This window comes from Homo sapiens, chromosome 20 (genome assembly GCF_000001405.40).
Source record: "Homo sapiens chromosome 20, GRCh38.p14 Primary Assembly".
NCBI classification, from domain to species: Eukaryota; Metazoa; Chordata; class Mammalia; order Primates; family Hominidae; genus Homo; species Homo sapiens.
The window spans coordinates 14,940,596-14,956,027 of record NC_000020.11 but is presented as its reverse complement, the minus strand read 5'-3'; the positions used below and the strand labels follow the sequence as shown (position 1 = coordinate 14,956,027).

Genomic DNA, 15,432 nt, shown 5'->3' with positions numbered 1-15,432 from the left:
AAAACAGCTAAAAGCTGTATTTCAGCTAAACAGTAAGAATTCTTTCTTTTCAGAAAAACTGATTGCAAAAATAAAATGTCTAGGATTCTAAATATGGTTAATCTCATTGTAAAACATCCACGTAAATCTGTGAGATAGTGATTGTGGGTCCTTCTCCTTCCCTGACATTCCTTTCTTTTATTTATCCCAGATGAACTCCTTCGCTTCCCCCTCTCTCCTTCAGCTCTGTAAGAGTCCAGTCTATAGTTTTGGGGCCCCAAGCTCAGGCATTGAAACAAATTTAAAAGAAATCATAATGCATTGCAGTTGCAGGGCTGGGGGTGGGGGAGCGCTGGTCGCAGAGTTAGAAACTACAAGACAAAAAGCAATAAACTTAAAATGGTGAAATTTCAGGGCAGTAGTGGGGGAAGGGTGAACACTGGTAGATGAGGTTGCAGAATGAATTCACATGATTCAGAAATGCTTCTTGGCCACACAGGCCTGGAAAAAGAAAAACATGCCTTCTACCTTGGATATATCATGAATACACACTTGATGGCAGACATATCGCAATATACGATAACACTAACTTGTGTGGAGGGCAATGAGGTGTGTAGACCATGGAACATTAAACATGGAGAAGAAGAGAAGGGCAAAACTGATGGAAATTATAACTATAGTTATATACAGCATATATATAATAAAAATTATATAGTATATGTTATATAAATTATATATAATAAAAATTATATTATATTATATAAACTATATATAATAAAAATTATATTATATTATATAAATTATATATAATAAAAATTATATATTATATAAATTATATTATGTAAATGATATATTATATAAATTATATATTATATTATATAAATTATATAAAGTACATATAATATAATTTATAAATTATAATATATAAGTTATATATAATATAAATTATATTTAATATATTTAATACATTAAATATTTAATATATTTAATTATATATAATATAAATTATATATAATATAAATATATAATATATAATATAAATATAAATATATAATATATTTAATATATTTAATTATATAAAATATAAATTATATATAATATACTTATATAATTAAATATATAATATATTTAATTATATAAAATATAAATTATATATAATATATAATTAAATAATTATATAATATATTTAATTACATATAATATAAATTATATATAATATATTTATAATTTATATTATATAAAATTTATTTATATATTTATATATTTATAATTTATGTTATATAAAATTTATTTATATATTTATAATTTATAATTTATATATTTATACATTTATATATTTATAATTTATTTATAATTTTATATAAATATAAATATATTATATGTATATTTACCTAAATTATATATATTATATATTTGTATTTATATAAATTATATATAATAACTATATAATTATTATATATAATTTATAATTTATACATTTATATATTTATAATTTATTTATAATTTATATTATATATAATTATATAATATTAATTATATAATAATAATTATATATAATTTATATATTTAAATATATATATAATTTCAATTCCATTTTACAGATTACAAATATTAGGTTTTCTACAGGGAGGTTTTACCGTGTTCAGGTTCACCCAGATGACAAGTCCCAGCCTTTTCCCATTTTACTACAATTAGTTTTTCCAAAGATTCATAAGTAGATCCAACAAATGTGGTAAATACATTTTGGATCATCAAATTCCATTTGATAACCAAAGATGGCCAGATTTAGCATTTAAACCAAAAAGAAACAACCACTCTGTGAATTCCACCCAAAGGGATTATGAAGAATAGTTTATAAGCTGTCCCAGGTATTGATTTTCATTTAGAAAGCTTGTTTTTACACATCAATAGCATTATTATAAACTTGTTTTAACACCAATCTATACTTAAGGTGTCTCACATAACAACAAAGAAAAAAAAATCTATTTACCGCATTAGAACATTGAGGACTTCAGCATTTGCATATCTCCTAAGACTTAGAAACCAAATGGGTTAACAATCAAACTGAAGAAGTACTGGTGAAATGCATTCTAAATGAACACTCACTCATCTCAACACTGAGACTAAGGGCTGTTTCTACCGGTTCTCCATTTCATTGTCAGATACATGGTAGGCAGTAAATTCTCCTTATGAATTGGCTGACAAGAGAGTTCAGTGAACTAACATCAAATACTAAAATTTTTAAGACCCTAATTTGCAATTTGTAAAACCAGAAGTAACAATAAGTCCTTTAGAAATCAAAAGGGGATGTTGGCCTCAGAATGCCTTATGTTCAAGACTCGCTAGCTATTTTCTTGACAGAATTCTGTGTGACAGACACCACAACTACACATCTGATGGGTCAGAGCACTCTCTATTTCTTTTATAACTTTTTTAAACAATGAGGCCGGGCACGGTGGCTTACGCCTGTAATCCCTGAACTTTGGGAGGCCGAGGTGGGCGGACCATGAGGTCAGGAGATCGAGACCATCCTGGCTAACACGTGAAACCCCATCTCTACCAAAAATACAAAAAATTAGCTGGGCGTGGTGGCAGGCGCCTGTAGTCCCAGCTACTCGGTAGGCTGAGACAGGAGAATGGCGTGAACCCAGGAGGCGGAGTTTGCAGTGAGCCGAGATCACACCACTGCACTCCAACCTGGGCGACAGAGAGAGACTCCTGTCTCAAACATAAATAAATAAATAAAAAATTAAAAACACAATGAATACATCTTGCTCTTTAAGGTCACAACTTTATGGGAGACAGGAACCTTTCACACTTTATGGAAAGGTCAAAGCTATCCTAAAAATGGCCTTTGAACCCAATACATTTTTGACTCAGAGGTTCAGTTTATCTGCATTTTATCATTTCATTATAAAATAAGATGACCAGGCCCTTTTTTTTCTGGTCTATTATTTATTAGATATGAGTAAAGAAGCTTGCTTTTACTGAAAGTCTGACACATACCACTGTATACTGTGTCTTCTCCTTGTAAAAAGCATATTCAATTTCTCCCTCTTTTCTTAAAAATAGAAGTAGTTTTTGGCTCTGTTCTTTCTTGCTCCCTGTCTCTCTCCACATCTTTAAAAAACAGAACTGTTTCCTTTTCCCTGTCTTAAAGAAATATGCAATGAGTATACTTTCTATTGTTTTAGGAGAATGTCATGTTCCTTTAAAAAGGATGATTTTAGATATTGAACCTTTTACTTCCCTCTTTGTGAATACTTATGATTTTTAAAAACCACTTTCAGGTGAGCAACTTACAGTATAAAAACTAATGCATGTATACATATAAAATATGAAAAAAATATATTTCCACTGATGATATATGATGATAGAAATATCACAAATACTGTACAACTCAGCTAAATAAAGATTATAAAAGTAAGCAAGAAAATTTTTTAATCAATACTAATGTGAGTTGCTAATGAGATATGTGGGTTGCTTTTGATGGAAGGCAGTACTGGGATTAGTACTTAAATATTAATAAGTTGTTCCCTGCATAAGGTCAACTAAGGAAGAAAGCAAGTTCAGAAAACGTAAACACAATCCAAAATCTCAACTTCAAATATAAACTGAAAATATAATATTCAAGACCTCGTTCTCAGCATAGATGTTAACACTTCAAATACATCAGAACACAATTTTAATAACAGATCTAAGCTGTATTTCCTTTGAACTATTAGATGGCAACATTATACCCACATTCTTTACACTTGACCATGAACTCCAACTCATGTAATTAAACAGCATCAGGCCTATGTGAGACATGCTCAGCAAGGGGTGGGAACCAGGAAGCCGAATTTCCACTTTCCTTTGTCTGTATTTTACAAAATCATGCAAATTCCATGCACAATTAGTTAGAATTAGAGCTGTAATCTGATAGCTTGATGACAGAGCAAAATTAACTTGAAACAAAGAAAAATAGTAATTTGTGAAAATCATGCCCACTGGTAAGTTACAGTCACAGGGGAGGGCAGGATGGTATGGGAGAGGCCTCTTGGGATCAGGAATGCATTTCCAAGCAAACCTTATTTCCCCACAACAGCTATTTTAAGTGATGAGTAATAAGCTCTGGAAAAAAAAAAAAAAAATGGAGAAGCTGCCCTGAAGGGGAGGGAGGACACTTTATCCTCTGTCATGGAAAAACACGGGAGGAAAGATGGGGGAAGATAAGAGACACTGAGTGATGGAGGCAGGGACACAGGGTAACTCATGACACATGGCTTCCTTCCTTTCAGGAAAGCCAAAGGGGTTATCTTTTAAGCATGGAGGATTGTCAGAGTTTCATGAGCTTGAAAAATACAGGAATAGTTTGAAACAGCTGCAACGGAGAAGTGGGTTGCTGGGTTACTTTATTCACATTATCTGGGTTCATTTTGTCCAGTCTCTGGGGCCAGTGATGCCCTCGGAGTCCTACAGCAGTGCCTCCAAAGCTTAATAGGGATAACAAATATGTGGTACAGGTGCCACCACTCCTCTCTTACTTCATGACTATGACAGACATTATTAATCAAGCACAGCATCCTTTCTCACTTAGCTGATACGGAGCCTCAGAATACTTCTCAATAGAGTGCTCTGAGAAGCCATTACTCATTGATCAAAGGAGGTGCTTGAGATGGGATCTAGTCACCATGCTTGAGTAAAACACAAGTCTTGCTGTGTACTTGGCTTACTCATAACCAGCTTCCTGCATTTACATCCATGGCCAGTTACCTACTTGATACCCCAGTTCTGTAAGAACTGGATTTTTTGTTCCTCAGCTTCACTAGTGTTATGTATGGGGATCTGATACCTACTCACAAACTTCTAAACAGAAACCATACATTCAGGGCTGGCCTATTCATGAACACTACACACCACTGCAGTAAACCATGGCTCTAACCCTCAATCCCCCAATCCATTTCCTCAAGACTCATTCCCAACTGACTGACTGAGGCAAGAGAGAAATCTGATGTTTGTTGGTAGTGAGTGGGCTGCCTTGGTTCTCTACATATTAAGCTCAGTACTGAAAGAAGATACACTTGAAGTATCTCCCCCTTCTAATTCTAAATTTGCAATTCCCTAGTGATTTTGCATAAAAAGCCAGATCCCATAGGCCAGTAAGTCCTCAACCAACCAAGCAACAAAGAAGCCTTTTAACGACTCCTAAGTTTGAAGATTGTCACAGCAGGTCATCCTGACCTCAAGTCTTTTCACTAAAACATTCTCCCTAAAACAAGCCCTGCAACATCTCAGAGGCCCAGGAAATAACTCTAAGAATGTCAGAGGCCTACTCTCCCAAAGTTTCATGTATTCTCTTCAATGGAGACCCTGAAGTCCAAGATGCAGTCCAGGAATAAGCTTGAAACTAGGATATTATTTCCCTGAAGTTTCTGTGCACCAAGCTTGAATCTCCCTCTGAAGCAACAAACCTAACAAAACAAAATAATACCTAATGTGGGCTTGCCTATGTCTCTAGTTCTTGCCGGTTCATTGGTGAGACCAGGTCCTTGTCCTTACAGAGGTTATTCTTACTTTGATAAAATATTCTAGAATTCCTATGTTTACGTCCTGCCAAGTCCCATGACACCATAGATTTAATTGTTTCTTCTCAATCCTGCTATTCTAATTTGGTCATTCCCTTAGACCCAGGCAAGACTTCCACGTCCCACAATAGAAGAGATCTGTGGAAGAGTCATCTCTCTTGAACCTGAGATGTATAATGTGGTCCCTAATGAACAACCAGTGTCTGCAAGACAGCATGAGTCTGAAAACCCCAGGATGAACCATTCTAGTAGCCTAGAATGATATAACTCAGCCAGTATGGCACACATCCTAGAAGCCATCTGCCTTAATCAGACCCTGTCTCTTCAACCTGGCCCCACGTTTTCAAGAATTAGATTTTTCAGAAGTTAAAACACTAGCAGCCAGTATGTCTCTTACTGCCAAGTGATCAGCTGAGGTGACAGCATAGACAACCCTAGAGATGGTCAAGAAGGGACAATAAGTGCACACATAGTCTAAAAAAAATATTGTATTTGCCCTGACATGCACTTGAGCTGAAATCACAACTTGACCACAGACTAACTCGGTGATGTTCATCAAGTTTTTTGGTTTCTTTGAGCTTCAGTTAAACAAAGATGAAGTGGAAATAATAATAAAAATATAATAGGGTTGATGTACAGCTTAGAGATAAGATACATTAAGTGCTGGTCAAATGACAGACACTCTCAACAATGATGCCCATTATATCAGTCTTGTGCCAAAGTGCAAAATTAAAATATAAACATCTTTGAAGCACAATGCTTGTCACATAGCAGGCACTCAAACATATGGAAAGAAAACCATGAATGCGTCAATGAGCCAGTTCATGTTTGCTTCCATGAGTATGAGAATATTTTCCAAAAGGAGCCTAATTCACCAGGCAATCAGATTGGACAAGCGTCTGCATTACTTTTTATTAACTGTTAGCTTGATGTTTCAATTGGAACAAGTAGTGACCTGAAATCACATTATAAACTATGTCTGAAAATCCATCAAATCCACTTAAACTGTGATTTTTGACCTGCAAGTCACATTTGAACATTTATAGGCAATTTAATACTAAAACCCTGCCTCTGAAGGGGAGAATTTGTTCTTCAGAAAGATAAAGCTTTGCAATTGCTAAAATAACACACTTATTTTAAAGATGAATTTCTTACACTAAATGATAATGTATCATTCCTATGCTGAACTTTAGAGTTAAACATTTCAAACTTAGATATACGAAGATTATTTTTAAAAGTCAATTCCCTTTTTAGGTCACTTGCATTTTTGTTCTACAAAGAAAAAAAATCTTTCTGAAACTAAAGTGAACATTTTGGTCTTGGTTAAATGTATGGCTGGGGGCAGAGAAAAGCCAAATCGCTAAAGCATAATTCTGATGGTTGTACTTATTGCTGAGTGGATATCGAAGTGAAAAGTGTACATATTTTCCAAAAATAACTGACTATTAACCTTTCATTTCAGAATATCTCAGAATGGAGGAGAGAACACTTCCCCACCTGAATAGTTCTATCTACTCATATACGTGTAAGGACAATACTGATTATACACACAATTTGCTTTGTGATAATGTCAACCTGTTTTGCAGGCTCCTAAAAGGCAGGGATGCTCCATTGGCATGATTATAATTTGATTCAGATGATCCAGGCTTCAAACCCTAGTTTTGTTACTTAGCGAAAGTCCTGTATTAGGCTAGGCACTTGACATAGCCTTTGTCTCCTAAAATTTTCCTTAGGTACGTTACTCATTGTCTTCTGTCTGCCACCTACCCTGTTTCTGCCCCACCACTGATTCTCTGTAATTCTTTACCCTGCTCTTGGCCCAGGGAGGCCTATTTTAGAGCTTGCAGTACCACAGGTTTGGTAGACAGAGGGCACCAGCAAAAGACCAGAAGACAGATGGGTCTGTGTTGGCATTAGAACGGCTGGAAACAGTTAGAGTTGCTGTATGAGCATCTTTGCCACCTCACTTCTCAGGCCATAGACTCCTAGGAAAGATAAAAGGAAATGTTGCAGGTGAAGAACTCAGCAGTGGTCTGTCACAATCAGTAAGTGATAGATGCCACCCACTGTTAAAGCCAAAATAAGCAAATGGTATTTGATGAGGGTCCACAGCTAGTTAAGGATTTGATTAGAATATGAGTCACCAAGGTGAAGGCAGCTGTTTCAGTTAAGTGTGAAGAAATGAAAATATTTGGTTCACAGCCATTCCCCACTCCCATCAAGTATTTGTGCATGGCCTGCTTAGCTTACCCAAAACCCTCCTCTGACAAAATCCAGGGAAGAGGATTCTCTCCTGAAAAGGAGCCAGAGTGAAATAAAATCTCCACTCCTCAAAGGAGCTGCAATCAGCTGGTGGGGGCACAGAGGATGTGATACTTGCTCTGTGCCAAAGGAAGGCAGAATTGAGGCAGCTGATGACAGTCCTCTGATGCCTTGGAGGGGAAATACTTGCTCTGGAGCAGGCGAGGGAGCTGCTCCTTGAAAGTTAAGGATGTGAAAAACAAGATAGAAAGTTTTTGTGAGTTGTTGAATGGTAGATGTAAGCAAATACAGGACTTCCTATTTTTGTTGTACTTGATAAACACTGGGCCAGCATTGAGCTACCAGGATCGTGGCTGTAGAAGCATTGCCCAAGGTTGAAGGATGTAATCCCACATCTGATCCTTCACTCTGATCCATGACCAAACTGCAGTCCTCACCTGCCCCAAGAAATAGTCTGGAGTCTGAATGCCTTAGGTCAGTGGTCATTCTGCAGTTTTAGGGCCAGCAGCATTAGCATTCCCTGGGAGCTTGCTAGAAATGCAAAATCCAGATTTCCTGAGTCAGAACTCTGCAGGGTGGGGGGTAGGCCATCTGTGTTTTAATAAGCCCTCTAGGTGACTCTGATGCACACTCAAATTTGAGCCCCACTGTCTTAGCACAAATGCCTTAGCACCAATATTATTACTATTAGTTACCATGTGTTTACCACTTATTATGAACCAATCATCTTGCTAAAGCCTTTACTTGAATTATCACATTTATTCTTTACAACACCCTTGTGAGGTAGGTACTGCTGGTGCCCCCGTGTATGGAAGGTAAACTGAGGCTCAGCTAGTTTGCAGAGCATACACAAGGGCCTGTGGCCAATGCCGGAGTCAGAAATGGAATCATGCTGGTCTTCCCAATGTTCTGAATCACTTCACTTTGCTGTTCTGCCTCTATAACAAAGCCAGAAACATTGTTATAGAGCAAAATGCACTTTTCAAAGACGTACATTTGTTAAAAGATGTGAGCCTTTTCTGTAAGACAACTTTGACTGTCCCCAGCTTGCTCGGCGAATCTGTGAGCTGTCCTAACAGGAAACTCATCCAGCTCTAAGATATGCCGTATTCTCAGAGAAGCACAAAGGGATATTTGGGAGATAAGAAATGGGCTGAGCCAAGGATCCGACAGCCAGGTATCCGGCCATCTGGAAGGGATCAAACTTAAACAGGTTTGGAGTTGCCCAAATAAATGTCCTTTGTGTCTCCACCAAAATATATATGTGTATGTGTTGTACATGCACACATACACCTCACATGCATAGCAAAATACACATTGTCCATACTTTCATCAGCCATTGGGGGAGAATACAAAATTGAATCTACTTCTTCCCTCCACAAAAAATAAATCACGTGGAATGAAAGTGAATTAAAAGAAATAAACTTTAAAAAGGCATATCTATGAATTCCTACTTGGAGTGTGCTAGGTGCCTGCCACTAGGAAGCACCTGTGTTCTTTTCTCTAAACTGATAAACTAATGTCTATTTTTACCTGGAGGAAAAGAAAATCAACAGATGCTGACCTTACAATAATTATTGCTTATTCTCATATTTTTATTTCAGCATACAAAACATCTCAACATAAAGTGAAAAAATCCTGCATCAAAAATTATATGCTATCATATTTATGCAACACCAAGCAGAGTAAAAGTAAAAAAAAGAAAGAAAAAGGCTCATATATATCTATATTTACTTTTATCTGCAATTAATTAACCTGATAATGCCCCTTGTATTTTATTTAAATACAACATATTGGAAAAATTTTAAGTGTAATTTTTTCTGATATATATCATCTTCTTTAAAATCCATATATTATTGGTATTTAGATACAGATATGTGATAGAACTAGATAGATAGTGATCAACAAAAAATATTCTAAAGAAACATACTTTGAGAATTTGCTTACTTGGAAAAAGATTAATTTGCATTTATTCCACAACATTCACTGAGTTTCCAGTTTATACAATTTTTTTTTTTTTGAGACAGAGTTTTGTTCTTGTCACCCAGGCTGGAGTGCAATGGCACAATCTTGGCTCGCTGCAACCTCCACCTCCTGGGCTCAAGCAGTTCTCGTGCCTCAGCCTCCCCAGTAGCTGGGATTACAGGCACTCGCCAATATGCCCGGCTAATTTTAGTAGAGACAGGGTTTCACCATGTTGGCCAGGCTGGTGTCGAACTCTTGACCTCAGGTGATCCACCCACCTCGGCCTCCCAAAGTGCTAGGATTACAGGCATAAGCCACTTCACACAGCCTGCATTATATGAAATTCTTACTAAAATGCAGATAAATTTCATCAACAATAATTAGAGTATCAATAACAAGTGAGGCCACCATAAAACTCTATGTGAGTATACAAAAATACCCAAATAGTGAGCTACTAAGTTTATTTTCTCATTTTATTTTCTCACCCTCCTTTAAGGGATCATTCCATGCAAGTACTTTGCTATCACAGGACAGTCACATGCTTGCTTTTGTCTCCCGCAGTTCATTCCCCCAAGCTCTTTAAAAGCATTCGGTTCTTCTTACACATCTCCATATACCCAGGAGTTCCTAGAAAACAGCTTTGCAATTGGTAATCCTTTAATAAATAAGACTAAGGTGATGTTATTTAGCAAGGAAGGTACCCAAATGTAAAGGCTGCAAGGTCCAAGAAGATGATACAATGAAGTGGGCTGGCTGGTGAAGTGGACAATCACACCCTTACTAAGGTGACAGCCACTTGTAACCTTGACGCCCCTGTCTTCAGTCCAGAATGCTGGTCCAGTGTTTCCTGACTTGATTTCTCAAAGGAAAAGTTGGCCAGGCATGGTGGCTCATACCTGAAATCCCAGCAGCACTTTGGGAGGCCAAGACGGGCAGATTATTTGAGGTCAGGAGTTCAGGACCAGCCTGGCAAATATGATGAAAACCCAGCTCTATTAAATCCCAGCTACTTGGGAGGCTGAGGCAGGAGAATCGCTTGAACCTGGGAGGCAGAGGTTGCAGTGAGCCAAGATCAGGCCCACTGCACTCCAGCCTGGGCAGTAGAGCGAGACTCAGTCTCCAAAAAAAAGAAAAAAAAAAGAAAGAAAGAAAAGAAAAGTAGCCATTAGGACTTCAAAGAGAAATCTTCCAATTTTTAAACGCTGGCCACAAATACTAAACTTTTCTTTAAATCATGGTTTAGTAGGCTGGATTTGTGCAGGAAAACCAAGTCACTTGAAGAGACACCAGAAATAGCAAGTTGAATGCAGGAATTGGCGTTTCCACAAATGATAGGTGAGCCAGAGTGGATAAAGGACAGAAAAGTCATGGTGGAAGTTGTGGGACGGGCAGGCAGAAGGGTGAGAAGGCAGACCCAGAAACCTCATCCTAGAGCAACACCAGACTGGTGGTTCTCAGTGGCTTATGGGCAAGGTGTCCTGGAAATTCCCTGGAAAGATCCCACCAGTGATTACTGTCTGCAGCAGTGAAGTGAGTGGTTCTCAAGCCACCAGGAATCCCACATCTGCCCACACATTCAGCTGCAACAGACTCCACTTCTCTTCTGCCTCCCAGATCCTGTACGCATTCCCTTCACTGGGAATCTGGAATCAGAACTATTAAGAAAAGAGGACTCTGGGGTATGTGCTTCTTGGTTTCTCCTTTTCATTGCATCCCAGAGATGGGATGATGTCAAATTGACAGCAGACAAGCCTAGTACTGACAGTACCGGATGAGAAAAGTTATCATTGGGGATAATTCCACTTTCAAGGCACAGTATACAATTTCCAATTTAGAGAATGACTGCAGAAAGCATTTGAACAATTTCATCTTCTTACATGAAGAAAGGAGAATGCAATGTGTTGAAGATACTGTCCCAGGTAACACATACAATCTTTGATAAGAATTCAATGAACATTTCACTGGGTTGCACGCCCAGTTTTCCTTTCTTCACTCTCCTTGCCTTCCCCAGCCCTCCTCTCCCTTCCTTTCTTCTTCCTGCTCCTTCTTCTTCTTCCTCTTCCACTTTCTCATTCTTCTTTATATTTTAACATCACAAAAATACCTTCTCAGGAGTTAGGGGTAAGGAGAGCAGGTGTAAATAAAGGGATAGCACAAAAGTGTTTTGGGGAATGATAAAACTGTTCTATATTCTGATTGTGATAGTGACTAATTACAGAAATGTATACGACTGTTAAAATTCATAGGGAAGAGCACCGGAAGGTCAGATTTTACCATATGATAGTAAAATTACTGAATGGTGATAACCTTAAGACAACAATAAAAAGAAACATATCCTCTTGTAACAAAAGTAGGCATCATCAAAGCAACTTGAATTAATGAAATACATGAACTCTGAGAGATCTACAACTTCTGACTGAACGATACTATCTGGGGTCTTATAGAAAGTCAGGAACATGCAGGAGAAAACATTCAGTGGTAGATACCTTTAAACAAATCAAGAAGCATAATCTACTATTGGTATTTAAATGTTAATCCTCCATGAAGATTAAATAATCCTTTCCAAAACTGTCTGTGCATGTTTACTATATAAGAAGATGGTCCTAACATAAAATTTACTTTGTTTAGGGGGAATCAGTCAAATGCTCTTAACTCCAACCATTATTGTAAAAAGCAGAAATTAAAACTACAGTAGAAATAAAATACATCTTGACAAAGGATAGCTCTGGTTGGGAAGCAATATATCAACCATTATTATGAGACAATTAATTAGACTTAATAAACTTTAAAGTAAAAATAGCATGTAAACAAAATTTTAAAAAATTAAAAAGCCTTGCTTTTTCTATCTGTCCATTGACCTGGAAGAAAATTCACTAGGTAAAAAATGAAAAAAAAAAATCTGTACTATAAAACTTAAATAAAAAAGGTATGTTGCTCAACTTGCTTAAATGTAGACATTTAACATACTTAAAGTCTCTTCTAATTATTCTCTCACTTATGATAACACTGTCTCATCAGTTGCCTGCAACCCTGTCTCTCTACACTTCGCAAATATCTGGTCAAAATTCAACAACTAGTTGGTGCAGACAAAGTCTTTCAATTCAAGTCTGCCTTTGACTCACACTTGAACACTTTTCAACTGTCAGTTCAGAATATCAGTGATTAGCATGCAAAAGGTTTATTTAATTTCTTATTTCTTTTCAGGGAAAAGAGGTTAGAAACAGCTGTCATTCAGGTGATGAATACAAGCTGCCAGCCTTTGAAACAGCAGGTAAAATAGTTGAGGTTGGAATTAATTAGCATTTAGAAATCTCCCACACTGGAATGTACCCTGGCAAGGAAATGGCTGTCCGTCTTTGCAAATTATTTTATCAGTTAAAGTAGTCAGGATAGAAGGCACAGTGGAAAGATAAAGCAAGGCACTTGAGTATTCAGAAACAAACACATAAAATAGTTTTCTGCTCTTTTTAAAAATTTAGGCTTTTAGGCTCATATGCATAAATCTAAGACGTGACATTCAGTCCGAAGTCATGCCTGAGCATACCATAAGCCTTTTAAAAATCATGTTCAGGGGCTTATGATGATTTTCAGCTGACATGTGACATTCAACGTTAACATTCATGAAGCTGTCACCAATGCTGACCCACACAATGGCTTTGCAGCCACTTGATTTGTTACGTATCCTGAAAGAAAGAATATTTTCTAAAAGAAATTTCTTGCTGACCGCAAATTCTGTTTGGTTTAGGTTTTATTAAGGTGATACACCGTGGAGCACACCCAAATATCTGAAGAAGAAAAAGGAGGAGGAGAAAGGAGGAAGAGGAGGAGGAGAAAGGAGGAAGAGGAGAAGAAGAAGGAGAAGGAGAAAAAAAAAGGAGGATAAGGAGAAAGAACAGGAAGAAAAGAAGGAGGAGGAGAAGGAGGGCAGCAATTATTATTCTATTTCAGAATTACATATATGTCCTAACAAGTTGACTTTTAAGAAAAGTAACTTTAATTCATATATGACATTTAATATATATGAGGAACATATTTTAAAAGCACAAAATGATTGATATCAGATATTTAATGATAGATAATAAGTGACCACCTGGCAGGTTTTAAAAGCAAGAAAAAGCAACACATTGTTAGAGTGTCTACAGAAGATCAGAATGTTGGCTGGGTGCAGGGGCATGCACCTGTAATCCCAGCACTTCGGGATGCTGAGGCAGGTTGGTTGCTTGAGTTCAGGTGTTTGAGACCAGCCTGAACAACACGGCGAAACCCCACCTGTAGCAAAAATACTAAAAAGAAAAAAAAAAAAAATAGCCGGGCATGGTGGCACACGTCAGTGGTCCCAAATACTAAGGAGGCTGAGATGGAAGGATTGCTGAAACCCAGGCAGTCGAGGCTGCAGTGAGCCATGGTCGCACCACTACATTCCAGCCTGAGTGATACAGTGAGACCCTGACAAACAAAAAAGAAAAAAAAAAGAGAGAGAGAAAGAAATTCAGAATCTTGATGCTAACTAAAAAGTTCTTTGACATCTGGTTCTAAAATGCGGCTTAGAAACAAGGTGGCTTCATTTCCCCCAATAGAAAAACAAAACCAAATATATAGCACCTAGTTTTTTACCAGCAATACCCTAGAACTAAAATATGAGGAGACAGTTTCCAGGGCTACAGAGAAGTGAAAAAACTCCAAGATGACAGTAAGAGAATTGGACTTACATATCTGTGACACCTCTTCCCACCATCTGCCTGGCATCAAGTGTGCAGAAATTTTCCACTAATTCACAGTTTCTACACTGGGAAAAGTGAGATCAAGGAGGACAACCAACTTCCTTACCATATTGGGTTCCCTAGCAGGAGACCTGTCCCTGTTTCAAGCCACAGGAAGCATCAGTAGTGCCTGGAGGAAGAAATACCCCAGAGGGCAGCCAGAGAAAAAGAGGTGAGGCAGGACTACCAACCCCTCCCCAGGAAACTCTGCTCTGTACTAAGAAAAAAAGAGAGAAGACCCAATAAATAAAATCATAAAGGAAAAAGGAGACATAGCAACTGAGACTACAGAATTATTATGGATTACTACAAACTATACCCCAACAAATTGGAAAACCTAGAAGAAATGGATAAATCCCTAGACACATACAATCTACTAAAATTGAACTATGAAGAAATAAAAAACCTCAACAAACTAATAATGAGTAATGAGACTGAAGCTGTAATAAAAATCTCCTATCAAAGAAAAGCCCAGGATCTGATGGCTTCACAGCTGAATTCTAACAAACATGTAAAGAACTAACACTAATTCTACTCAAATTCTTCAAAAAAATTAAAGAAGAGGGAATATATCCAAACTCCTTCTACAAGGATAGCATTAACTTGATACCAAAACCAGGCAAAGACACAACAAACAAAGAAAACTACAGGCCAATGTCACTGATTAACATAGATACAAAAATTCTCAACAGAATACAAGCAAACCAAATTTTACAACACATTGAAAAGATAATTCACCAAGATCAGGTGGAATTCATCCCAGGGATGCAGGTATGGTTCAACACACAAAAATCAATAAACATGATATATCACATTAACAGCACCAAGGGAAAAAAATGATCATTTTGATACATGCTGAAAAAGCATTTTAGAAAATTCAACATCCTTTTATGATAAAA

The 15,432-nt window shown here is 37.0% G+C and overlaps 1 protein-coding gene across 3 annotated transcripts in view; it reads right to left on the bottom strand.

Moving 5' to 3' along the window:
* MACROD2 (mono-ADP ribosylhydrolase 2) overlaps nucleotides 1-15,432 on the bottom strand; it is a 2,057,682-nt gene that overhangs the window by 1,097,170 nt on the left and 945,080 nt on the right. The window lies entirely within an intron of this gene.